The following is a 26,124-nucleotide window of genomic DNA, read 5'->3' as shown; positions in this document are numbered from 1 at the left end:
ATAGTTAGTCTCAGGTCACATTTGTAAGTGTAGAGATGGGGAAGGAAGGAGGAAAAAGGAATCTTAGGTAAAGGGAACAACTGGGTGAAGGCATGACAACAGGAAAGCACAGGACATGCATGGGCAATAGAGAGTAGTTCTATTAGAGTGGAAACCATGAAGTCAGATGATGGAGGTCTTTGAATACAATGCTAAGTCTGTCCCTCACTGTGTAGGCAATAGGGAGCCATCGAAGATTCTCGAGTAGCAGAGTAGCATGATCAGAGACGACAAATGGTTTGGAAAGAGGAGAATCTGGAGATGTATAGAACATTACAGGTGATGGTAATAAAACATATGAAGGATAATGCATTGTGCATAAAGGATGGTATGATGTCATATTTTTTCAAACAAGGCAGGAAAGAAAATTTTCTTTCACTTACATAAGAGGCAACTGATTTCATAAGAATAAAGAGGAAGTGACCCATATTCTAGTTCTTCCCAACTGCATCAACGCATTTGTACCTGGAAACTTTCTAGAAATGCAAACTCTCATGTCCCACTCCAGACCTGTGGAACCTGTGTTTATAAAAGGCCACCAAGTGATTCTGAAGCATGGTCAGGTTTTAGATTCCACTGTGACAGAGTCCTGACCCCCAAACTAGGCTCTAGTTATTATTGTCCCTTCCTTTTTCTGTCTTCTTACTGCGTTTCTTTGGCACAAGTGCCAGTTAGTTTTTTAGATCACTCTAATGCCAGTTTGTTGGAATGGGTAAAAACGTCTTTTATGTCTTCAACCTGTGTTGGCTTTAAGGGAGGTTGTGCCAAGTTGACACCTGGAAGCATCTGGAACACTGGGGTGATGGCTTTATGCTGTAGTGAAAAAAACTTTGGACTGAGGCTCTAGGCCCAGCCAATAACTAACCCCTTTTGTGGTTCTAGGATTTACAATGTCGGATTTTGAGTTACCGCATCTGTAAAATGTGGATAATAATGAGATTCTGTATATTAGTGATTCTCAAAGTGTCCTCCCTGGGCTATGAGTGTTACCTGGAAACTTGTTAAGAATGCAAATTACCAAGCCCTTCCCAAGACCCACCAAATCAGCCTACTCAAGATGGGCTCCAGGTGAGAATCACTCCAGGCAAGAATGCACTCAGGTGATTCTGATGCATCGTTAAGTGAGAGAACCACTGCTCTTTGTTAAGAATGACTGCTGCTTGTCACAGCACTCGAAAGTTCAGGTTCTTAACTGAACTCGATTTTGGCTCTATTACAGCGGTTCTAAAACTTGACCATGCCTCAGAATCACCTGGCAGTCTTGTCTAAACACAGCTTCCTTAGGTCTGGAGTGAAGTCTGAGAATTTGCATTTCTAGGAAGTTACCAGATGAAAAACACTATTCTATTACATACTAACTTTGTGGTCTGGGACAGATTTCCTGCTCTCTGTGACTCAGTTTTCTTGTCTATAAAATAAAGATCATAATAATATCTACCTTATAGACTATTAAGAGAAATAGAATAGGTAATTCATGTAGAGTTCTTAGTGCATTATAGTTTCATAAGCCTTTTCCTTGTTATTAATTAATCTGTAACATGTTTTACAAATACAGACAGTAATTGTGAGAGTTGGATGGCAGAGGACTACAGTGTGTCTGTATTTAAAAATTCTTGTGGTGGTAGAGTACATAAAACATAAAATTTTCCATTTTAACCATTTTAAGCGTAAAATTCAGTGGCATTAATTACACTCATGATGTTGTGTAACTAAAGTTGTCATCCATCTGCAGAACTTTGTCATCTTCCCCAACTGAAACTCTGTTGCCATTAATAACTCCCCATTCTCTTCTCCTCCCAGCTCTGGGTAACCGCTGTTCTACTTTCTGTGTAGGAATTTGCCTATTCTTGAGATTCAGATAAGTAGATTCTTACAATATTTGTCCTTTTATGTCTGGCTTATTTCACTTAGCATAATATTTTTAAGGTTCATTCATTTAGACATATCAAAACTTCATTCTTTATATGGCCGAATAATATTCCATTGTAAGGATATATCACATTTTGTTTCTTGGTTCATCTGTTGATGGACACTTGGGTTGTTTCTATCTTTTAACTCTTGAACGTTGTCTGCAATGAACATTGTTGTACAAATATCTGTCTGAATTTCTGTTTTGGAATATACTTAGGAGTGGAATTGCTGGATCATGTGGTAATTCTATGTTTAGCTTTTTGAGGAACCATCAAATAGTTTTCCACAGTAGCTGAATAAACCATTTTACACTTTCACCAGCAGTATCCAAGAGTTCCCATTTTTCCACATCTTCACCAATACTTGTTACTTTCTGTTTTCTTGATTATAGCCATTCTAGTGGATGTGAAATTGTATTTTGTTGTAGTTTTGATTTGCATTTCCCTAATGGCTAATGAAATGCAGATTGACCATTTATATATCTTCTTTGGAGAAACATCTCTTTAAGTCATTTGCTCATTTTCAAACTGGTTTATCTGTTTGTTGTTGAGTTGTAGAAATTCTTTATATATTCTGGATATTAGACTCTTATCAGATAGTTGATTTGCAAATATGTTGTCTCTTTATGTTTGTTACCTTTTGGGTCTATTTTTAAATACAGTTTTGTTGAGATATAATTGATATTCCATAAACTGCATGTTTAGACAGTTGAATAAGTTTTGACCTGTGAAGCCATCACTATAATCAAGGTAATGAGCATATCCATCATCCCTAGAAGTTTCCTCATGGCCCTTGGTGAGTCTTCCTCCTGTGCTTCCTCTCTCTGTCTATTAATAATAATGATCTAAATACCCTGGAGTTGACACAGAAGCATGATGAAAAGATACCCAGTCTGGGGCTCAAGAGATCAGACCCCAAGGGCCCTGGCTTTCTTTCCAGCAGATGCGTGATTTTGAACCCTGGGACTGCTTCCTCATCTGCACGTGACAGGGTTTGCCTATCAGTGGTTCTCATCCACTCTGGCTGCATATAAGAATATCCATTAGGGGGGCCAGGCGCGGTGGCTCACGCCTGTAATCCCAGCACTTTGGGAGGCCGAGGCAGGCGGATCACGAGGTCTGGAGATCGAGACCATCCTGGCTAACATGGTGAAACCCCGTCTCTACTAAAAATACAAAAAATTAGCCGGGCATGGTGGCAGGCACCTGTAGTCCCAGCTACTTGGGAGGCTGAGGCAGGAGAATGACATGGACCCAGGAGGTGGAGCTTGCAGTGAGCCGAGATCGCACCACTGCACTCCAGCCTGGGCGACGGAGCAAGACTCCGTCTCAAAAAAAAAAAAAAAAGAATACCTATTTGGGAAGCTTTTAAAAAATATTGATGTCTGCCCTAGACCCTTTAGACCAGAGTTACTGGGGGTGGGGTGCTGAAATCTGTGTTTTTAAAAAAACTTTCCCAGTGAATCCAATGCATAGTAAGTTGAAAAGATTTTCAACACAGCCTTCATGTCCCAAATTCCATGATTTCTGTAACACCTTGTATTTTTGATATTGATTTAATTTTATTCTTTCCAAAATGCCACGAGGTGGGTAAGAAAGATATAGCTCATCTAAAGACATGAAAATAAGTATGCAGAGTAGGGAGGATTTGAGGAGATATGAGGTAGAGTGGGGATGAGAAGGTAGCAGGTGTTTTCTGCTATTTCTGTTATTCCCTTTGATTGCTGTTAAACAAGGTGACACCAACCTGCAATGGGAGGCAGCCAGTGGCTGCCAGGTAGGGCCTTCCAGGGTGGGGTTATTATGGACTGGGGCTGGCTTTGCTGGTGTGTGTACCCAGAGATGAACAGATTCTCAGGACTAACTCATTCTAGTCCCAAGGATATTGATATTTAAGATAAAATGCCATCTTATTCATTGCTGGAGTCTGCTCTTATCCAGCTAATGAAAGAATGGCTGTTGCTGTCCTAGACACCCTTCATAGTCTTCATGGCAGCAAAGTATCATCAGCGAGCACAGCTGTAGCCTGAGGGATTACTGGGTGAGTCAGTGAGATGCTTTCGCCTTCTGGTAGGACCCAGTAATAGTGTGAACCATAAGTGAATGGTGGCCTCACACAAGAAGACCCAAGTTGGGCGGCTCTAAAACTGGTCATTCAGCAGCTCCCCTGCATCATCCTACTCCTGGCACTTCCCTTCTCTCTGTTCAGCCATTGCAGGCACATCAGTGGTGCCTCTCTCATGGGCACAAGAAGTCTGCCACAGTTCCAGGCATTGTAAACAGGTGGACAAGTAAGGAAGAGAGGTGCTCCCTCACATGAGTCTCTTTTAAAGAGCAAAAAAATTATATTCCTGAAGCCCCTGGCAGGCTTCTCATTCAGTCCCATTCATCAGGCTTGGGTGGCATGGCTGTTCCTAAACTCATCACTGGCAGGGAGAAGGAGACCAGCATGACTGGCTTAATCCAATCACAGCTGTTGGTTGATGCTGGGAATCATTGGCTTATTCCAATCATGGCTGCCTGCTTCTGGGGTGCGGCCATGTGTGGAGGGTGAACTCCTGAATACAGTTGGGAATATTCCAGTAAGAAAGACACATTGGTGGGTTGGCTGCTCCTTGGGGGAGCATGGATCGGGACTAGGAGGCTGGGTGTTCTTGAGAACAATGTAGTCCGCACCATGGAGAAGCCTCGTGTCCAACTGCTGCGCCTCCTGGGAGTTCACCTTCCTGGTGAGTCAACCACAACTCTCCCTCCCTGGCTGGCATGAGATTAAAAACCAAGCACTCATGCTGCTTACTCTGTTCTCCGAGCCGACCATCCCGAGTTGGTTAATACCTTCTTTATTCAAGCTGTTTAGATTATAGCCTTCTTAAGTTATATTCTTGTCCTGGGGAAGAAACCTTGTCACCCTGATTGGGCTTCACTTCCCTGCTTTTTCAGTGGAGACCTGGGGACACCTTGCCCTTGTAAGGTGGTTTCTGCAGATATCTGGTGCTTCCATGCAGATGTCTTGATTGTTACTAAATTAACTCTCAGAAGGTCACCTTATCTCCTTGTTCCAGGGGCTCTGTTCTCGTGCCTCTGTGTGCAGGCTCTATCAGTTACCTCTCAGGGCTGTTGGAAGATGCTCTTCAGATTGGATCAGGTGGGCACGTGCGTGGAGGTTGAGTCTGGCATGTGGGCAGTATGCTGGCAGGTGGCATGGGGAATAGGTCTGGGCAAATACAAATATGACTGTAATGCAGTCGGGTGTCAATTCAGCTGGGAATACAGGTTATTGGTCCGTTGCCTCATCGATTTTTGCAGGCTGAGCCTTTGCGTCATTGATTTTTCACTTTGGACTGAATCTTGTTAGTCCGTTCACTAGAGGTTGCTTCATTTCTTTCCAATTCTTTTTTTTTTTTTTTTTTTTTTTGAGTCTGTTTCACACTGTGACACATTGTGCTGCCCTTACTCACTGTAGTTTCCTGGGAAAATCTCTACGACGTGGAGAAAGGCATTTAGCCTCTTTAAACTTCACTTTCCTCATCTGCTCAATGGGGATGGTAATTCCTGCCTAAAATGCCTACAAGTTTTGAAGGCAGTTGGGTATCTGGGAGAGTAGCTCCTGAGAGGTGGATGGCAAGATTTTCTCAGTAAGGTAACTCTTACCTTGCTGAGCAAAATAAAACTCAGACTCTAGACTTGGCAATGGAGGAAGAACGTCTACTTGAGGAGGTGCTGAGGTCCTGCAGCCTCAGCTCTTGTCTAAAGATTTCAGTTTCTTCTGCCAGTAACTGCAGCTTTGGCCACATTGGGTCCAGAGAACGGAATGCATCTTCCCAATAATCTACATCCTAAGTTTGGATTTACAACTGTCCATTAACTTCTAAGAGCATGGCTAACATAAGGCTGGACATTTAACAGGATTTAACCCGGGGCCTGGGGGTGATAAAAGTGAAATAAATAGAGACAGTTACTATAACAAGTCAATGGGGTTTCCAAGTTATGGTTTATTTTGCTTCATCAGTGTCTCTTGTAGAGTGGCCCTGTTTAACACCCATTGTGCCACCGTGGGGCAGGGTCTGTCTTTGACCACTAGCCAGACCCTCAAGACCCCTTAAAGTTTAGGCATGAAGACTATGCACCAAAGAGGGATGGGAGGGCCCTGTCCTACCTGTGAAGGTGTGCCATCAGTCCTAGTGACCTATTTGAGAGCCACCTGGATGACTGCCACCATAAATGTTCACCTCCTTCTTGAGAAGCCATGTCCAACCCTCACAAGCATAGCCTTACCCCATAGGGCAGGACAGAAGAGTCATTATCCCCAAATAAAACAGCAGCCCCAACAGGGGCGCCAGGAGTACATGCACTACAGGCAGCAAGGAAGTGAACCATTCAGGCAGGGCACCTTAGAAGTCAAATCAGCAATTTGGGTGTGTGGGTTGGCGGGGCCTTTGAGTCTGGGAATGAGCTAGGAGGGGATGAAACTGAAACCTACACTTTGTTCCGATAGACTCATTTTATCCTTCCTCCTTTCTCTACATTTGTTTTCCTGTCAGATTTCTTATAATCTGAGAAAATTGTGACCTCTCTCATCTGTGCTAAGAGGATCAGGAGAAGGCAGTTGTCACAGGCGTGCAGGCATCTGCCAGGAGATTAACGGGAGGGCTGCTATGTCTCCATGGGGCCATGGTGATGGAGGATGCAATGTGTTCCATGCATGAGCCTTTGGTGGGAAGGGAATATCAAGGAGTGCAGTCTATACCACTCGCACCCGTTGCTTCTCCTCACCTAGAGATTTTCCTTCCAGTACTAAATCTTGAGAGCTTGGGTTTTCTTTTCAATAAGTGAAGCAAATTGCTCTAAGTTTCTCAATTTACTTGACAGGGTTTTTATAAAGACTCAGTGAGAAAATAGATGTGAAAGTGCCTTGAGGAATGGAAACCAACATGCCAGCATTTCCCAAGGTGTGTACCATGGAACAGTGTTCCCAGAGGTCATAATAGGGTTTAAGCAAGAAAAACTTCCTTGGTCAAACAAGTTTGAGAAACCCTGTTTCACAAACCTTCCATGGGTTTGCTTATCAAAGCACCACCTCTGAGGACTTTTAGTGAGCTGACATGCATCATGGCTCCCCAGGAGGGTGATGCAGTGTTGCTCATACTTGCTTAATAGGGGACCCTTTCAGGGCAGAGCCTTGGGAGGGACTGGTGTTCTTCTCAGTGCTATATTATTATAATCCTGTGGGTCTGGAGATGCAGGTTGGTGAAAGGGACATGTTTTCACCCAAAAAGGCTTGACAGGCATTTGTTCACAAGTTTTCTCTAGGTCTTCCCTTTCTCACCTGTGTCCATGAACTGGCAACTGTAAACCAGAGTTACTTAAAACCCAGAAGTTTCTGGTGCCCCCCACAAAATGGATCTTTATTAAAAACCATCTTTCATGCCTGTAATCCCAGCATTTTGTGAGACTGAGGTGGGAGGATTGTTGGAGTCCAGGAATTTGAGACCAGCCTGGGCAATATACTGAGAATCAACTCTACAAAAATTTTAAAAATTAGCCTGGTGTAGCAGCCTGTGCATGCTGTCCCAGCTACCCAGAAGGCTGAGGTGGGAGGATTGTTTGAGTCCAAGTGTTAGAGGCTGCAGTGAGCCGTGATTATGCCACTGCATGCCAGCCTCGGTGACAGCGAGACCGAGTCTCTCAAAAACAAAACAAAAAGACACCATGTTGTCTACATGTTACCACATGAATGAACCTTGAGGACATTAAGCTAGGTGAAAGCAGCTAGACACAAAGGAAAAATACTAAATGATCCCACTCATATGAGATACCTAGGATAGTTAAATTCATAGACATAGAATGTAGAATGGAGGTTGTCAGGGGCAGGGGGTGAGGGGATGGAGAGTTGGTATTTGATGGGTACAGGGTTTCAGTTTGGGCAGATGAAATGGCTCTGGATGGCAGTGATGGTTGCACCATGACATGGGTATACTTAATGTCACTGAACTGTACGCTTAAAAGTTGTGAAGATTGTAACTTTTATGTAATGTATATTTTATCACGAGTTTTAAACATGTTAATATGTTTTTTTTGAAAAAAGTCTTGCCAGGCACAATGGCTCATGCCTGTAATCCCAGGACTTTGGGAGGCCGAGGCGGGTGGATCACGAGGTCAGGAGATCGATACCATCCTGGCTAACACAGTGAAACCCCGTCTCTACTAAAAATATAAAAAATTAGCTGGGCGTGGTGATGGGCACCGAGCTACTCAGGAGGCTGAGGCAGGAGAATGGCATGAACCCGGGAGGCAGAGGTTGTAGTGAGCCGAGATCATGCCACTGCACTCCAGCCTGGGTGACAGAGTGAGACTCCATCTCAACAACAACAAAAAAAAGTCTTGCTCTTAGTGTGAGTTATTTTGATTTCAGCCTAATTTCCTTCAGGCTGGCCTTTAGCCCTTCACTGTTTTATATAATGGGGAACCCAGGGCACTCTTTATGACTTGAGAGAAGAGAGGGCTCCTTGCTAAGAAGTATATGATCAATGCTGTTTCCCCTTTTCCATTTTCAATCCTTTAATGTTATTAACTTTGGTTGGGAATTTGTGAAGTTTATAAAGTAGCCTGTACTGCATAAGCATCAGTAATTTCCCTTTGGTAAAATCAAGTTTTGCTGTGGTAGTTCTTCCTTCACAAAAAAATAAGCATCAAATTCTAGGTTCCTAAGTAAAATTCTTTCATTGACATCCCGTTCTTCCAGCCAAGGACCCTTGGTACAATCTCTGCATCTACCCAGGGGCCGTCACAGTTACAAGGCCCCCATCTCTATGGGGCTTTTTGCAGGGTTAGGTTGATATCTTAGCCTCACTTCGTTGTAGTTATTGAGAATCAGCTTGTCTTCCAGAGAATAAGGATGACATTAGCATCCTCCTAGGAGCATTTACATGAGATGCCTTCCGCAGAACACACAGTGTGGTTCTCTGTGAGTCACCTCCCTTGATTGTTCTCTTGAGCATCAACCTGGGCCAGGTGGGCCCTCTAGACAACCTCACCTTTGACATCCTAAAAAGAACTCTTGCCTTCTCTGCTCCACTGCCCTGATTTCCCCATATCAGTTAAATGGTACCAGCACCCACCCAGATCCTCAATCCAAAAATCAAGGAGGTGTGACTAAGTCCCTCTCTTCCGCCCCCCTTGTTTCCACATCACCAGCAACCCCTGCTGGAGCAACCAGTCTCGCTTTCTGACACTGTCACCTGAGTCAGGCTGCTGTCACTCCTCAGTGAACTCCTCTTCCACCCAAAAACCATTCTCTACACAGCAGCCAGACTGAGCTTGCTAGCCATAGACCCTGACCATGTCATTCCCTTGCTTAGAAGTTTTTCATGGCTTTTCCTGCCATTTGGAATATACCCTCCGGCATCTGCTGTCTCTCTTCTCTCCCACCCCATCACCCATCCTTCCGTGCTCTTCTGGGCCTTCCAGCCCGTCGGCCTTCTGCCTTTTCCTTGCCAAGTCTGCTTCAGTGTCTTTGCATTTACATTTCCTTTGGCCTAGAAAGCTCCTCTCCCAAATCTTTGCATGGCTGGCTCCCCCTGGCCATTCAGTCCCCCTGCAAGTGTCACCTCAGAGATACAAACCATGGCTATTCCAACTAGAGAAGCCAGGGTTGGTCTCTCTGAGGTCACGCTTGCAACAGTTATCTTGTAGCAAATGACTTTGCTTCTTTTTTCTTTTAGGTCTTAACACTATCTGAAAATAGTTATTTTTCTTGTTTATTGTGTATCCTCCCTATTAAATGTAAACTCTGTGAGACCAAAAACCTTGTTGTCTTACTCATTGCTGCACCCCCAGAATGTAGGTTCCCGGTGTAGAGTCTAGGGAGCTGAATAAGTGTTGGTGAACGAATGCATGAAGACATGGGCCATCTTCCCTGCCTGCTGGTTAGTTTCTTCTGACAAGCCCTTGGCCCCCGAGAGCTTGCCCAATGGTGCCACCTCCTTGAGCTCCATTGTGCACAAGTTTTCAAGGCCTATCAAGGTGACAGGCCAGAACAAGTCAGAAGGCTTTTCTCTCTTCCCAGTTAACATCTGTGCATTTATCATGGGCCTTCTAGACAAATTTCCCTTCCCACTTTTGCTATACAATCCCCAGTGATGACTCTGGTGAGTGGCTTTGGGGTTTGTTTATTTATTTATTTTGAGCCAGAGTCTTCCTCTGCCACCCAGGCTGGAGTGCAGTGGCACAATCTCAGCTTGCTGCAACCTCTGCCTCCTAGGCACAAGTGATCTTCCTGCCTTAGCCTCCTGAGTAGCTGGAAATGCAGGTATGTGCCACCATGCCTGGCTAATTTTTGTATTTTTTGTAGAAATGGGGCTTCACCAAATTGCCCAGGCTAATCTCGAACTCCTGGGCTCAAGCAGCAGTCTGCCTGCCTTGGCATCCTAAAGTGCTGGGATTACAGGCGTGAGTCAACACACCCAGCCAGCTTTGGAGTTTATTAGGAAAGTATTGGATCAACTGAAGATCTGAGGCATAGAGAGAGGAAAGGCATGACTTTGGGAAAGTTAATGAGATTCTCTGACATCCAAAGTCATGCCTCAGCAATAATCCTAATGGGTTGGGTTGGGGTGGTCATATATGTTTGGAGCCATGAGTGGCTTATTGCCTATGAAGGAGCTTAGAGAAGGCAAAGCATTCCACCAATGAGAGGTGGTGATGGTTGTGTTTATGATGGAGTTTTGGGTGGCATAAGAGTAGGAGGGCAGTGGGAGCTGGCAGGTGTTGTCCCCTCTGCATGGAGCATGCTGTGTCTGTGTCCGTGGAACTGATCCACAGAGTGGATTCAGAAGAGCTGCTGAGTCTACTGAAAGGCCTCCTGGGTCTTGCAGTGGATCTGACCCTTTATCACACCCCAGTCCACCTCATGGCCTCTCTTTCCCCATGGACACAGCTTCTGAGCAGGTCCTGAAAGGGGGATGTCAGTAGCATCCAACATGAATCTCCCCTCTGCCAGGCCCTGCCCTGGGCCCTCTACCAACATGCTCCTTTCTGTATTCCTGTCACCTGAAAAAGGAAGAGGGCATGACCAAGTCATAGGGGTGCCAGGGGAGGGAATCTGTTATGTCAGCAGCCCTGGCAAGTTAGGACCTGGTGTTGATTTCAGAGGTAGAGGTCGGCTTGTTGAGGACACATCTACTTTACAGTCATGGGCACCTGAGAGGATGGAGTCCCCGGTGCTTCACCCTTCTGTGCCCGGTTTTGTGAAGTTGGGGAGGAAGGGGATGAGACTTCCTGTTCCTTGCCCAGGTGTTGCTGGCACAAACACAGAGATAGGGTGAGGTTTCATCACAGTCCAGGGGTCAGGGGAAAAAGAGCTGGGAGATGAGGATGTGTTAGTTAATTTGGAATCATTGCCAGAAACTGCACATCTTCTTGGCCATTTGACTTGCAGGTGTGTGCCCAATGGGAAAGGCAGGATGACTCGGAGACTGGGACCCAAATCCTTAAAGCACGTGTTAATTCTTGGGAGTAAGGAATGAGTGGGACCAAAACAACCTCCTTATGATGTATGACATGTTCTTCTGGCATGTACACTATATATTACACTTGTTACTTGATCTATACTAAATATTTCTTAAATTTAGTGTTGTCATGGTGATAGAGATTATTTCCAAACTTTATGTCCTAAAATCCTCTATTCTGCTACCCCCTTACATATTCTCAGGTAGTAGTGCCTGGCCCCAAAACTTTGTTGCCGTCATTCTGAATTTTTTTTTTTTTTTTTTTTTTTTCAAGGAGCAAATATATCTCCGTTCAGCTTCCGGCTGCAGTGGAGATTTCTGCCAAGATTTTCAGCACACAGCTGAAATATGTTTTGTATTTTATGAGCTTTGGCTCATCGTGGAATTAAATAGCACTAATTACATGAATATAGACCAGCAAGGGAGACAACTGTTCACTTCCTGATTTTTCGGGGAATTGAGAAAGAAGAGAGGGGGTAGAGGGACAAAAGGGGCCTGGAGTGAGGCACTCCCACTAGATGTTGGTGACAACAGAAGCCCTGCCATTTGGCTGAGTGAGCCCCAAATAGCCTGCTCCCCCACAGTGCCAATGTTTGGTGGGATTATGGGCTTCCTCGAGTGAAGACTCTGTGGGGCCAGAAGGTGGGTGGCTGAGCTGTTGGGGCAGCTGTGACAGGGGCTGGTGGGGGTGGTCAGGCTTTTAGGAGTGGAGGGGCGGCCGGACAGATGCTGAGGTCCAAGGATCTGAGTGTATGGACTCTCGGCTTGGTTTTTCCAAAACCTTGCATGTATTATCATTTCTAGGCCCACTGACTGTTTTTACAGTTAGAAAAGTCTAGCTAGAGATTTCACACCAGTCTGCAGAAGGGAATATTTCCATTTCTTTTTCTTACTTGCTACATGTAGGAAATGAAATGGGTCAGATCATGCTGGCAGAGTCAACCTGTCGAGGGGTCTAAATTAAGCCCTTGGGTGGGTGGGGCAGTTTCAATGCTTGGAGGCCTCCTGCTGGCCTCCTGCTGCGGACCCAGGTCCTCAGAGGCCGGAAGAAGCAAAGGCCTTTCCCAGAAAGATCAACTTGCTTGTCAGGCTCAGTGAAATGGACCAACACCTGAGCTGTTAAGAATGTGCTTGGTCCTTTTTATCTAAGGGAGAAAATAGACTCCAAAGAGTGTGACTTACATCCACTTAACAGATGAGTATCCTGAGTTCTCTGAGGGCAGACTGTGGAATTCAACCCTGGCAGGCATTCCTGAGGCTCTCCACAATCTAGATTCAGGCAGCTAAAAAGGCAACTTAAGCAAAGATGCAAAGAGTCTTTGGAGAGAAACTTCAGCACCAGCTTTTTGTCACCCAGTGAACACCACCCCTGGGTGTTGTAATCATCACATCACGTGGCTCTGCCCTGCACCTCCACAAAGGCTGTTTGTGGAAACTTCCCAACCTCAATGATAGCCTGTGTTCTGTGAAGCCTACAACATTTCACTCTCACTTCTGGATTTAGCACAAGAAGAAACTGGGTGATCTCTCTTCCCCATCCTATTTCCAGAAACGCCATTTTACAGATGGGGAAACTGAGGCAACAAGAAAGAAAGGCTGTCACTTAGCAGGACGTGTCTGGTTAGAATGACCTGATGCCAATAGTATCCTTGGCCATGGCAATTCTGAGAGGAGGCTTTTATGGGTGACACTGGCTGATGCATGACTGGCTGTGAGCCAAAAACATCCCACTTCTTCCCTTTACCATGAAAGGAGAGCAAGGAGCTCATTTGGGTGAAGACCACTGAATGTGGCTTTGCCTACTGGGGCCAGGCCAGAGCAGCTAGAGAGGCTACAGGGAGTGTAGGTTAGAGTGGCAGGCAGGGATGCAGTGAGCCTCCTCTCCTGGTGAAAATGTCAGCTGGACAAGCCTCAGGCCACATGCACGAGACAGGGATTACTGGAGAGGTGACTATCCCCAGCCTGTGGTGACCCCCAAGCCCCTTTTCTGTGGTTCCCAAGGTCCACTCAGGTCTTGGGGCAGCAGACGTGACAGCAAGTCTCCCTTTGCTACAGCTTAGCAACTTCCCATGGTGTCCCCCCATTTCTGTGCACTCAGAGGCCATTGGGTCCCCTTTGAAGACCAGGAGCCAGTACCCCTGGACAGACCCTGGATAGAGTGTTCCTCATGGACTGGGTAGGAGACAGTGGCCACATAGGTGCCAGCCTGTGCCATTTTGCAGAGCAGGTCTTGACACCAACTCCAGCTGGGGCATCTGACTCCAAATTCCTGGCTGGCCTGTTTCTTTAAGTGAGATGCTGGAAAGAAGTTTAGGATTCTATCCTCCCCAAGCCAGGATCCTATTGAGAGTGCTGTGTTTTTAAAGCCTTGCTGCCACACTTGGAGTAAAGAAAGCCATTGCCTAGTGACTGTCCCAAGGCACAGTGCCTGGAATCTCAAGGCGATCTCCACGTGGTAATGGAGAGTTTCACATGGGGCTGCCTGGGCCTCGGCTGGAGCTCCTGCTCGACTCTACTGGGAACGGCAGACTTGGCCAGGGAGACGTGGTTTTGTACCCTGAGGGAACACCCTCCAGGCCAAGGACAAGGAGGCCTGGGGGAGGGAAAGGAAGGAGGGCGTGGAAACCATGTATAAACATCTCAGAGGTCCGGCTGGGACATGATCTCTGAATGGAGAGGCTCACAGGCTCAGCCTCCTGCAGAGGCTTCTTCCAGGCTGGGTCCAAAGGCTCTGTCCATGGTAATCACTTCTCCTCATCCCCTTTTAATAAACTAGGAAGTAAGGATGAAGGGAGCCCCGCGTAGCTGAGCTTGGTGCTGGATTTCCCTGGGACCGGGCTGGTTGCCTGGTGGCGCCAAGACTCTACATCAGTGCCTGGCCCTCCATCGCTCCCTCTTCCCCATCTTTTATACTTTTCTCCAGCCCTCCCACCAGTCATCAATTTCACAGTTCCCATCTCTCAGAAGAGAAGCAGAGGCAGAGGGAAGCACACCGGAAGGAGGGCTCCCATGGCCCCTGCTGGACTGCTGCTTTCTGGACTAAGGCTGTGTTGTGGCTGAGCTGACCCCACCAGGCCCCACCCACACTGAGACTGCCCAAAGCCAGCAGTGACCTTCTCTTGGGAAGACAGTTGCTTTGACTTGACTTTTCCCCCTAGTGGTAGTGATGGGTTTTGCTGTGTCAACCCTACCCTCTGGCTCTTTCCTTTGATGAATGTGACACTCATTTCTGAGATAGCTAGCAACAAGGGGCAAGGGGACAGTGAAGGCCGGGACGAATGGAGCTGCAGTGAGGTGGCCAAGTACATGGGGTCAGTTGTCTGTCATGGGCCCCAGACTGTAGCGAGCTGCATGATTGGGCCCTAGATGGGTGTAAATAGAATTCTCCAGGGAAAGTTGTAAAATAATTCATGGCTCCCACTTCTAGAAACCAAGAGTTTAAAGTAAAAAAAATACAGACATGAAAAAATACTGACCTTACTGAAGACGCTATGTTGAATGCACGGATTACAAATTGGAGTAGAAATCTACAAATAGCATGTGTCCATTTTGTTTGCATGGATCAATAAGTGTTTGAAGTTTCTTAGATGAAATGGAAATGAGGCCTGTTGCTGCTCCCCAACTCCCTCACTGCCCTCAGCTGCACACACACTTACCTCCCTGAGCCCCAAACTTGGAAATGGCCATTGAGCAGGAAGATTTCTCTATCCTGTATATGTTAGCTTGGCCATCTCCTCTATCTCTGGGCTTACCCACTTGCAATCTGGCTTTGGAAACAAGGGAGGGGGCTGCTGACATCTAAAGAGAACTCTTCCTAGGGCCAGAGCCTGATGCACCACAAAGAACAGAGGCCTGGAGCCCCCCAGCATTACGTTTGAATCCCAGCTCTGAGATGCAGTGAGCTTGCTGTGTTTCTGCCTGTGAGTTAGGGTGAGGTTAACTGTTGTCACACACAAATCCACAGTTTCAGTATTATCACAGTAAAGGTTTCTTTCTTGTCTGATGTTCCTGGTGGGTGCACGAATCTTTCATCTTGAGGCTCCACCATCCTATAGGGCCTCAGGGTCCTCTTTATCCAGCTGGGTGGTGAAAGAAACCGTAGAGAAAACACACTTATTTCTTCCCTGCTTTGGCATGGAAATGTCACCATGACCTTGCTATTCACACAGTCACACCTGGATACCATGTGGAAATGGAGAGGCTGGGAAATGTCATCCATCGCTGATGGCCACCTCTCACTGACTTCATACCAGCAGCCTCACGCATAGGGAAGCGCATGTTATTTGTGAAAAGTTAGCTTCCTCTTCCCAATCCACCTGCACAATTGAGATTAAATGACCTGTTGTACAGTGTTGTAGGAAGTTCTGGGTTTCTAATAGAGGCTGGGAAGGGGAGGATCTGCAGAGCTTGCCAGTGGGACAGCTAGAGGGGCCTCTAGAAGACCCTCAGCCCCTGGAGAGCAGGGACACTGGTTTTGTTTGTTTGTTTGTTTGAGGTAGAGTCTTGCTCTGTCACCCAGGTTGGAGTGCAGTGGCACAATCTCGGCTCACCGCTGCAACCTCTGCCTCCTGAGCTCAAGTGATTCTCCTGCCTCAGCCTCCCGAGTAGCTGGGACTACAGGCATGTGCCACCATGCCCAGCTAATTGTTTTTTAGTAGAGACAGGGTTTCACTATATTGGCTAGGCTGGTCTCAAACTCCTGACCTCAAGTGATCCACCTGCCTCGGCCTTCCAAAGTGCTAGGATTACAGGCATGAGTCACCACTCCTGGCAGGGACACTGTTTTTTGCTCTGGAATGTATCTATCCTTTGCACCCAGCCCAGAACTCATCATGTGGTATGTGCTCCATCAATAGTCGTTGGCTGAATACAGGAGTGCATGCTGACTTCTAGCAACTGGCATCTCCTGCATTGTGGCTGTTTTCTGTTGTTGTCTGTTTTCCATGCTGCAATTTTATTTTCAGGCTCAGCTTCTTCTGTTCAACCAGGTCCATACTGATTTCCTTTGCTGCATAGGATGGTGGTTCTCAAAGTCCAATTTGCTAACACAAGACAGCTTTTTATGATATTCCAGCTGGTGGACCGGTTGGTCTCCATGTAAATCATATACGAAAGACGTAGTTTCTCTGATGCATTTGAACTCATGTCCTAATAAAAATTAAAAAAGAGCTTTACCTTTAAATACAAATAAATAAATAAATAAATAAATAAATAAATAAATAAATAAAAGGACAAAATGGAGTATTTTAAGTATTTATAAACCCTGGTTTAGAACAGGGTACAACCAGTTTTTTAGGTTGGTCCCTGTTTGAATTGACTGGCTCAAAGATTTACTTGAAGCACCAAGATTTACTTTGTACTTCAGCTGTACATGATACCCACTGCCATCTCATATACTCTGCTATGGAGCATTCATTCATTCATTCATTCACGTGTTTCCAAACATCTATTATACACCTACTGTGTTTCAGGCTCTGAGCTTGGAACTGGAGAAAAGAGGGGCAATATATAATCCTTGTCCTCAAGGAGCTCATATTTTTATGCTAGGAGACAGCATCAATGGACAAATATAACAGAGTTTGTAAAATGTGAGACTCTGGTGGCACTGGTTCCTGCACTAATATATAGTAGGGGCATCTTAGACCAGTGGCTTGATCAGAGAAGGTTTCATTTGAACAATGAGTCTAACTCAGGGCCCGGAAGCATGAATTGGTGAAGACTTCCCAAGAGCTCTGCTGGTGCAGCTCCTAAGGCAAATGCTCAGCAGATAGGGAAGTGTTGTGTTTGATTCTGAAAGTTGGTACATACACGTGCACACACGTTCGAACATCACCTGGGATTGTGCCTCGCTATCTGTAAAACCATAGTTTATCTCTGTGGGCAGTGGAAGGCACAGATCTGTTTGGCTTGCTCACTTGATCCCATGGAAAAATAGTGTATTAGAGAGGTTGTGGTGGGAGACACTGTACTCTTTGGGATTTTTCTGTGTATAGGTTAGGATCCTTACATCAGCAAGTGCCAGAAAACCGAACCCAAACTGGCTTCTGCAAAAGGGGAAAAATTTTTTTTGACTTGCGTAACCGGAAAGTACAGGCATAGAGCTGGCTTCAGTGGACACAATTGAGACATTTATAGGATGTCGCCAGGCCTGGGACCCAGTACTCTCTATCCTTTGGCTTAGTTCTGCTCTTCTCAGTACTTTGGCTTCATTCTTCCAGGCTCCTGTCCCCTGCTCTCACCCCTGTGATTACAAGATGGCACTAGCGGTTCTTAGGCCCTTGCCTCTCCAAGGTTACATCTGGTGGAAGAGCTAGAACTTTCTCCCCTAGTATCCCTATCCAAAGCCTGTTGCTTGTCGGAGACCTGATTTAACCAGTTTCTCATTCCTGATCCAATCACTATGCCCTCCCGACCCCCGTTCTGTGCTGAGTGGCTCAGGCTTTGAACCAGAGGTGGAGTCAATTCCAGCAGAAGTGTTTGGGCAAAGGCACAGATGCCCAGAGGATAAATGAATGACAGCAAAAACAACAGGTATGCACCGTCTCTGAAAGTGTGTTTCAAATTTTTTTGACCATGACTATATTAGTTGGGCTTCTTCAAAGAAAACAGAACCAAGAGGATGTGTGTGTGTGTGTGTGTGTGTGTGCATAGAGACACAGAGATTGATTTAAGGAATTGGCTCACACAATTTTGGAGGCACCAAGTTCAAAACCTGTAGGGTAGGCTTGTAGATGGGAGACTTAGAGAAGAGCCAATATTGTACCCAAGTCCAAAGGCCATCTGCTGGTGGAGTTCCCTCTTGCTCAGAGGAGGCCAGTCTTTTGTTCTATTCATGACCTTCAACTGATTACATGAGGCCCACCCACATTATAGAGGGCAGTCTGCTTTACTCAAAGCAGACTGATTTAAATGTTAATCTTATCCCAAGACACCCTCCCAGAAACTTCCAGAATAATGTTTGACCAACTATCTGGGCACCGTGGCCCAGCCAAGTTGACAAATAAAATTAACCATCCCAGGGACCCAGTTACATCACACATATTTACATCACATTCAATATGTAGTTTGCTATATAGTGGGTAAAACAAAAGTCTCACCGGCCAGGCACAGTGGCTCATGCCTGTAATCCCAGCACTTTGGGAGGCCGAGGCGGGCGGATCATGAGGTCAGGAGATCGAGACCATCCTGGCTAACATGGTGAAACCCCGTCTCTACTAAAAATACAAAAAATTAGCCAAGCATGGTGGCGGGCGCCTGTAGTCCTAGCTACTGGGGAGGCTGAGGTAGGAGAATGGCATGAACCCAGGAGGCAGAGCTTGCAGTGAGCTGAGATCACACCACTGCACTCTAGCCTGGGCAACAGAGTGAGACTCTGTCTCAAAAAAAAAAAAAGTCTCACCAAACAGTGCTTATCTTTTCTATGTGACATACTAGTATTTTCCCTTCTATTTTATTTCATTAAGAAGAGTACCTGGCCAGGTACAGTGGCTCATGCCCATAATCCCAGCACTTTGGGAGGCTGAGGCAGGCAGATCACTTGAAGTCAGGACTTCAAGACTAGCCTGACCCAACATGGTGAAACCCCATCTCTACTAAAAGTACAAAAATTAGCCAGGCATGGTGGTGGGCACCTGTAATCCTAGCTACTTGGGAGGCTGAGGCAGGAGAATCACTTGAACCCCTGGGAGGTGGAAGTTGCAGTGAGCCTAGATTGTGCCACTGCACTCTAGCCTGGGTGACAGATGGTGACTCCATCTCAAAAACAAAACAAAACAAAACAAAACAAAAACTAAAACAAAAAACACCTGTGACTCACCTAATTCATGGTGTGTTGTGACGTGAATTTTGAAATGCCATCTTAGGGCACATTTTCTGAGAATCCTATTACCCCATAATAAAAGGTCTGAGGACCAGGACTCTGTCCAAGGGGCCAGGGAATATATTGTGAATAACTGAGTGAGGCCTGAAGAGCTCAGCTCTCCAATGCCCAACGTGACTATGTGTGACCTTAGCCAAGAGCTGTACCTGTTCATGCCTTGGTTTCCTTATCTTTAAAGAAGGCATACTTATAAATACCTCATCTACCTAACAGGGTTGTCATGAACAAGAAATTCAGAACAAGGTAATATCCATGAAAACACTTTGTAAACTCTAAAGTAATTTCACAGGGTAATTGCTATTTTAAACGACTCTATAATAACTTTCCTCTCTACCACTCAGGAATCTGAGAGGATGGTGCTATTTCATGAAAATTAGTTTCAGTTCTTTGAAACTTGCTGCCTAAAACAAAGACAACCCCAATTTCTTTAATCAAAATGATGATCAGCTTCTATAAATGAGTCCCATCTCCCCTGAGACTACTCAAAATTAAAATCTGATTTCAAAGAAGGGAAAACTGTAGCATGTTTGAGTTGGGTTACGGGGTCTTTCAGTTCTCCTGCCTTCTTACCCACTCTACGTAGTTCGATGAATCCTTTGGGGCAATCGTGAAGGTTATTTGGTCCCATTACTTGCCTTTAAGAATCAGAGTTGGGCTGAATGTAATTTCTAATACTTGGTTTTGAAACTAGCTAAATGGTGACTTGAGAGCGAAATGGTGGGTAGGCTCTGATATTGGGGTGGGGGTTTCCTAGGTTGGGGTTACCGCTTACAAGAATTGACATCCTGGAAGGGAAACCCCCCTGGAAACTCTTGCTTTGCCAGATTGGAGCAGCCTTAGACAGCTCAGGGAGACAGGGGGCTGGTGGCTCTGCATATCTGTGGGTCCCAAGCTCGGCGGGGTGTCACCTCTGTGGTGGTTCCTGGTGGGGTCTTTGGTGAGGCAAGCTGGAGCTCACATCCTTATTTTCCCCTTTTCTCTTCCATTTCTCTCTTATTTGTTTCCTAATCAGTCCCTTTCTTAGTGTGTAAAATGAAAGGCTGGTTATTCCCAGTACATGTTATTGTTTCTGTGGGCCCCCCTCCTCTCTGGGTGTAGTAATCTCACCATCCCCAGATGAGGGTGATAAGTGTTTGAGATGCATAACTGTGTCTCCTTTCAGTGCCTAATAGAAGATGCAGAATGAGCCATGGCACCTTTCTGCTCAGTAAATTCGTAATTATAGGATTCTTCATCTCACCTCTTGCAGACTAGAGAGCTGCTGATTGGCCATGGATCCATGTGTATGTACAGTAAGGCAGGTCGTGGGGTAGGCACACATTCCCCAGCATACGGCAGGTTGTGATACAGAGACTGTGCGAAGTTCTCTCCTCAGAAAAGTTGGTGGCGGAGCCCCGACCTGCACCTGCCTGTCTGGAAGGGGGATTATCAGCCCTGCTGGAATTTGGTTGTTGGCAGAGACGTTTTGAGGGCCCTGTTAGCCGGCAGAGCATATGGTGCCCAAAGAGCAGTCTCTTTCAGACAAAGGCTGGAAGCAGCTGCTGGAGTGAATTCACATAAAGTCAGAAGAGAGGCCGGGGTGGTGGAAAGAGCATGGGATGGACAGTGTGAGACCCAGTCTTACACTGTCTTCAACTCAATGTGTGACCTCTTGCAATTTCATCTGACCTCTTGGATTTCAACTTCCTTGTCTCTAAAATCAGGGATTGGGAATCACTAAGCTGGATTATCTCTTTTAGATCAAAAACTTATAGATTCTTCTTTGATATTTGAATTTGCACAAGCAATTCAAGGTGAACCATCTTGACTCTTCATCACTCATCTTGAGATGTACCACCAGGAACCATCTCATTATCATAATCCTAATCTTTCTAATCCTATTTTAATCTTGCTAACGATAACAACGACAGCAACTATCATTTCCTAAGCACTTAACTGTGCTAGGCAGAGGCTCTGTGCAGCTGCTGCTTTACAGTCATTAATACTTTCAGAGGTAAACCACAGAACTCACCTGATCGGTGTTATCTACCAGCTTAGCCCCTGAAGGTCAGAGAGGACTTTGTTTTTCTCATGATACTGGTAGGTGATATCCCAGGATTTCTGTTTGGGGCTTACATGAGTTAACAAGGGCTTCTAAGTGCTCTATCTTCTGGGCTCTGGAAATGTGCATTTCTAGAAAAGTATGGATTTTGCATTGATTGAAACCTGGACTTCAAACCCAGTTCTGCTACATCTTAACCAGTGTCCTTGCAGAGCTAAAGTTTCCTCACCTGAAATAGGAATAAGACAATTCTGATCCCAGGGAACAGTGGTGAGGATTATGTGAGCCAAGCTATGTGAAAGTATTTGCATGGGCTCTGGGGTGCAGTAAATACTCCACAGATATTGGTATTCGTCTATGCTTCCAGCCCCTCTTTCTGCCAGTCAAGAAACAGTTGTTGAGCCTCCTCTATATGTGCAGCTGTGAATGTGTTGACGAGCAAGACAGACCCAGCCCTGCCCTGTGGAGTTCACAGACCCTCAGCTCCAAACTCTCCTTCTGCAAAGGCTAAGGCTAAATGGAAAGGGAGAGGCTCCTCTCTGGGGGCCTTTGCTCTTTTCCTCTACAATTTCATTTCTGTCTTCAACACTGTGCATTTCAGTCTCAACTTCCCAGTGACATCCTGGCAAGGCTGAAGCTCTCTCTTTTCAGCCTCATCTTCCACCTGATTCATTCATGAACTATGTTCTCCAGACGTACTCTTCCTTGTACACACCCTCATGTGATATGCCCATGCTTCTGCTATGTAGACCCCTCCCCTAGAAGGTCTTTCCCTTCGTGCTCTGACTGTCTTCTTGAAGTTCACAGCTCAGCCCAAATTCCATGCCCTCCCCAAGGCCTCCTGCAGCCTGCTCCTTGCCCTCTCTCACCCTAAGTTAGAAGTCTTCCTCCTCCTAGGAACTTTCAAAGCACTCTCTTGTATGCCATGTGACTTTTTGTCGTGCGTATCAGTTCAGGTTCTGGTGGTATCGGCCTGATTTGACTACGCATTCGTTGAGGATCTGCTCCTTGGGCCCCACAGTGTCTTGCACATTTTGTGTGTGTTCTGAGCAAACATTTGCCACATGGGTGAATGAATGAAGGCCCTTGGCTTTCAGCACTGCTCTTGGTTGTGGTGTGTTCCACTAACCAGTCTTCCTCCTCTGATATTGACTGGAGAAGGCCTGTGCTTTTCATTAGGATGCTGGCTGACAATGCAAAGTCTTTATTTGGTTTTCTTCCTTCTTCTCTTGGTTTCCATCTGACCTAGCGTTTGCTCCCTGCTGGGGAATTTTCCATTGCTTAGTGATCTACCTCTTCTCATTCTCTACTTTTGAGGTGTTTGGGGGTGAATGAGAAAAATTCCACAGAGCTGAGATGCCCCCAGATAGGATGTTGGCAATTCCTGCCCTGAATTCTCTCGAACTGGAAGAAACATAAAGCTGTCCAATGGGAACACATGCAGGAAGCACCTTGAATAGAAAGAGACCCTCAGGATGGGGAGTGATCTTGTTCCTCGGGGAGTTTTGTATTTATTTGTTTATTTATTTGCTTGACTGCTTCTTAAAGCATTTTTTCTCTCCCTTTAATGAAAACCTCTCAGAGGAGGCCCTGCTAGGGGAGGAAGCCAAGATCTGCCTTGTTAAAATAACATTAGGGCTCAGGGTTGGGCAGTGAACCCAGAGGACCTGGTTGCAGCTGCAGTGTGACGAGATTGAGGATGTGGGTTTTTAATTTGGCCTCTTCATCCAGCAGAGGAGGCACAGAGGAAAGTTTCTCCTGCAGTAGTAGGTACAGACACAGAGAACTGGAGGTAGTGGCTGTAATGGACAGCCCCGAGAAGGGATCAACCTTAATTCTTCTGCTGCATGGGACAGGGACCACGGTACAGCCCCAACTGTGCAAGGTTGGGGTGAACTGAGATGGTTTAGCAGTTAAGATTGCGAACCTGTGCACATTTACACTACTCATATTTGGAGCTACCTCTACCACTTATAGCTATGCAAGTTACATGACTTCCCTAAGCTTGCTTTCCTTAGCTATAAAATGTGGCTACAATAGGATGTACTTCGGAGGTCTACCAATCAGGGTCCCAGCAGGTAATAGACAGCACATACAAATTTGGTCCTTTGAGAAAAGGTTAATAAAGGGGCTATTCATAAAAGTGTGGCTCTTTAAGGGGCAATGTAGTATGGGTGGATAGTAATAGTGAGGTCTCTGTTACCACCTCTACGGCCAGATGGGGTCCAGCAGGAGGTGGTTCACAGAGCCTGGAGACGGAGAAACTGTGTGCAGAGGCCTGCTGTGGGGAACACCGGACAAAGCTTGCAGCCAGTGCAGGCAGCCCCGCCTCCTGCCCTTCCTCCCTCCCTCCCTCCCTCCCTCCCTCTTCTCCTCCAGCCAGTCTTTGCGGATGCTGCCTGCTGGTGGCACCTGACCCGGGTGACAGTGCTGGACAGTGTCTGACACAAATTCAGGCACTCAGTAGATAATGGCTGTTAATCATGATCATCATCATCATCACTGCTATTATCATGTCATTATCATCACCACCATTATCGTTACTGATGTGTCCTCCTGGGGCTGCTGCCACCCGGCTCTGACTGTGTCACATGCCCGTGGTGGGGGTTGACTCAGTCAGCCTCCAGCACCCCCCAGTGCAGTTCTGCTCAGTGTGTGCAGAACATTTTGAAAGTCCAGGCAGACAAGCTGTGGGGTGAAATGAAGCCACTGGCATTGTTATCCAGCTCATTGTCTTCCCTTTCTCCAGTAGGGGAGACTGCATTGCTGAGTCCTGGCCCTCTGAGGGGACGACTGTGCCTGAGTGCTGCTGTGCCACTGGGACCCGCCTCTGCCATGAAAGCCATGCCCTGGAACTGGACCTGCCTTCTCTCCCACCTCCTCATGGTGGGCATGGGCTCCTCCACTTTGCTCACCCGGCAGCCAGCCCCGCTGTCCCAGAAGCAGCGGTCATTTGTCACATTCCGAGGAGAGCCCGCCGAGGGTTTCAATCACCTGGTGGTGGATGAGAGGACAGGACACATTTACTTGGGGGCCGTCAATCGGATTTACAAGCTCTCCAGCGACCTGAAGGTCTTGGTGACGCATGAGACAGGGCCGGACGAGGACAACCCCAAGTGTTACCCACCCCGCATCGTCCAGACCTGCAATGAGCCCCTGACCACCACCAACAATGTCAACAAGATGCTCCTCATAGACTACAAGGAGAACAGGCTGATTGCCTGTGGGAGCCTGTACCAAGGCATCTGCAAGCTGCTGAGGCTGGAGGACCTCTTCAAGCTGGGGGAGCCTTATCATAAGAAGGAGCACTATCTGTCAGGTGTCAACGAGAGCGGCTCAGTCTTTGGAGTGATCGTCTCCTACAGCAACCTGGATGACAAGCTGTTCATTGCCACGGCAGTGGATGGGAAGCCCGAGTATTTTCCCACCATCTCCAGCCGGAAACTGACCAAGAACTCTGAGGCGGATGGCATGTTCGCGTACGTCTTCCATGATGAGTTCGTGGCCTCGATGATTAAGATCCCTTCGGACACCTTCACCATCATCCCTGACTTTGATATCTACTATGTCTATGGTTTTAGCAGTGGCAACTTTGTCTACTTTTTGACCCTCCAACCTGAGATGGTGTCTCCACCAGGCTCCACCACCAAGGAGCAGGTGTATACATCCAAGCTCGTGAGGCTTTGCAAGGAGGACACAGCCTTCAACTCCTATGTAGAGGTGCCCATTGGCTGTGAGCGCAGTGGGGTGGAGTACCGCCTGCTGCAGGCTGCCTACCTGTCCAAAGCGGGGGCCGTGCTTGGCAGGACCCTTGGAGTCCATCCAGATGATGACCTGCTCTTCACCGTCTTCTCCAAGGGCCAGAAGCGGAAAATGAAATCCCTGGATGAGTCGGCCCTGTGCATCTTCATCTTGAAGCAGATAAATGACCGCATTAAGGAGCGGCTGCAGTCTTGTTACCGGGGCGAGGGCACGCTGGACCTGGCCTGGCTCAAGGTGAAGGACATCCCCTGCAGCAGTGCGGTGAGTACAGGGAGGGCTGCGCGCTGGGATGGTTGGGAGTGTAGGATGAGAACCCCAGCCTGTAGCCCCCATGGGATGTGTATCATCCTTCCCCTTTTGCAGATGAAGTGAGTATATCCCATCCCATCTCTGAGTCTCATTGGACCCAGAGTGTCACCAAATATTCTGCAACTATGACATTGAATGTATAAGAGTCAGAGTGGGAGCTGAAACATAAATTCCCATCAGTGTACTTTTCTCTGCCTCATATTGGCTCACTAGTTATGACGGGGAGTGCTGGAAATAGGTAGGAATTGTGTCAAATGGATGTCGTAGGGACCGGGCATGGCTGGAGTCTAGATCACAGTGTGCTGTAGTGCAAGACACGTACATGCCCTTTGTACTCACCAAGCCTGCAAATAACTTTCCTGGGAGCTTAGAATAAAAACCATATGGTAGAAGGAGAGGAGAATGTGAGGAGTCATCCTACATTTGGGATAGATATGGAATTTCAGGAGAGGTGTGTTTTTAGCCCTTTGTATGTCTTTAGGAAATGCTAAAATGAGAGCACAGTCAGGTAAGAGTGCAGTGAACACATAGAGAAAGCAAAGCTAACTTAGAAAAGGGATGGGAAGGGACAAATTGTGTTTATTGAGCATCTTCTGTGTGCACAGTGCCTTGGAAGAGACATGTGAGAAAGTCAGGAAGCAGCCGGAGAGCAGCATGGGATGATGGGAGAGCTGTGGG

At 46.6% G+C, this 26,124-nt stretch overlaps 1 protein-coding gene across 11 annotated transcripts in view; it reads left to right on the top strand.

Moving 5' to 3' along the window:
- PLXNA4 (plexin A4) overlaps positions 1-26,124 on the top strand; it is a 525,349-nt gene that overhangs the window by 115,785 nt on the left and 383,440 nt on the right. For 10 of the 11 annotated variants that reach the window (XR_927546.3, XM_017012779.1, NM_020911.2 and 7 more), the window contains one exon: positions 24,125-25,398. Coding sequence is in view for 10 of the 11 variants with exons in the window: in XM_017012779.1 (XP_016868268.1) it covers positions 24,211-25,398 (1,188 nt within the window). In the remaining variant the exon portion in view is untranslated. The remainder of the gene's footprint in view (positions 1-24,124; positions 25,399-26,124) is intronic. The other variant, NM_001393897.1, reaches the window with a different exon arrangement.

This window comes from Homo sapiens, chromosome 7 (genome assembly GCF_000001405.40).
Source record: "Homo sapiens chromosome 7, GRCh38.p14 Primary Assembly".
NCBI classification, from domain to species: domain Eukaryota; kingdom Metazoa; phylum Chordata; class Mammalia; order Primates; family Hominidae; genus Homo; species Homo sapiens.
Note: the sequence above shows the minus strand (reverse complement) of the source record. Positions and strands in the feature narration are given on the sequence as shown.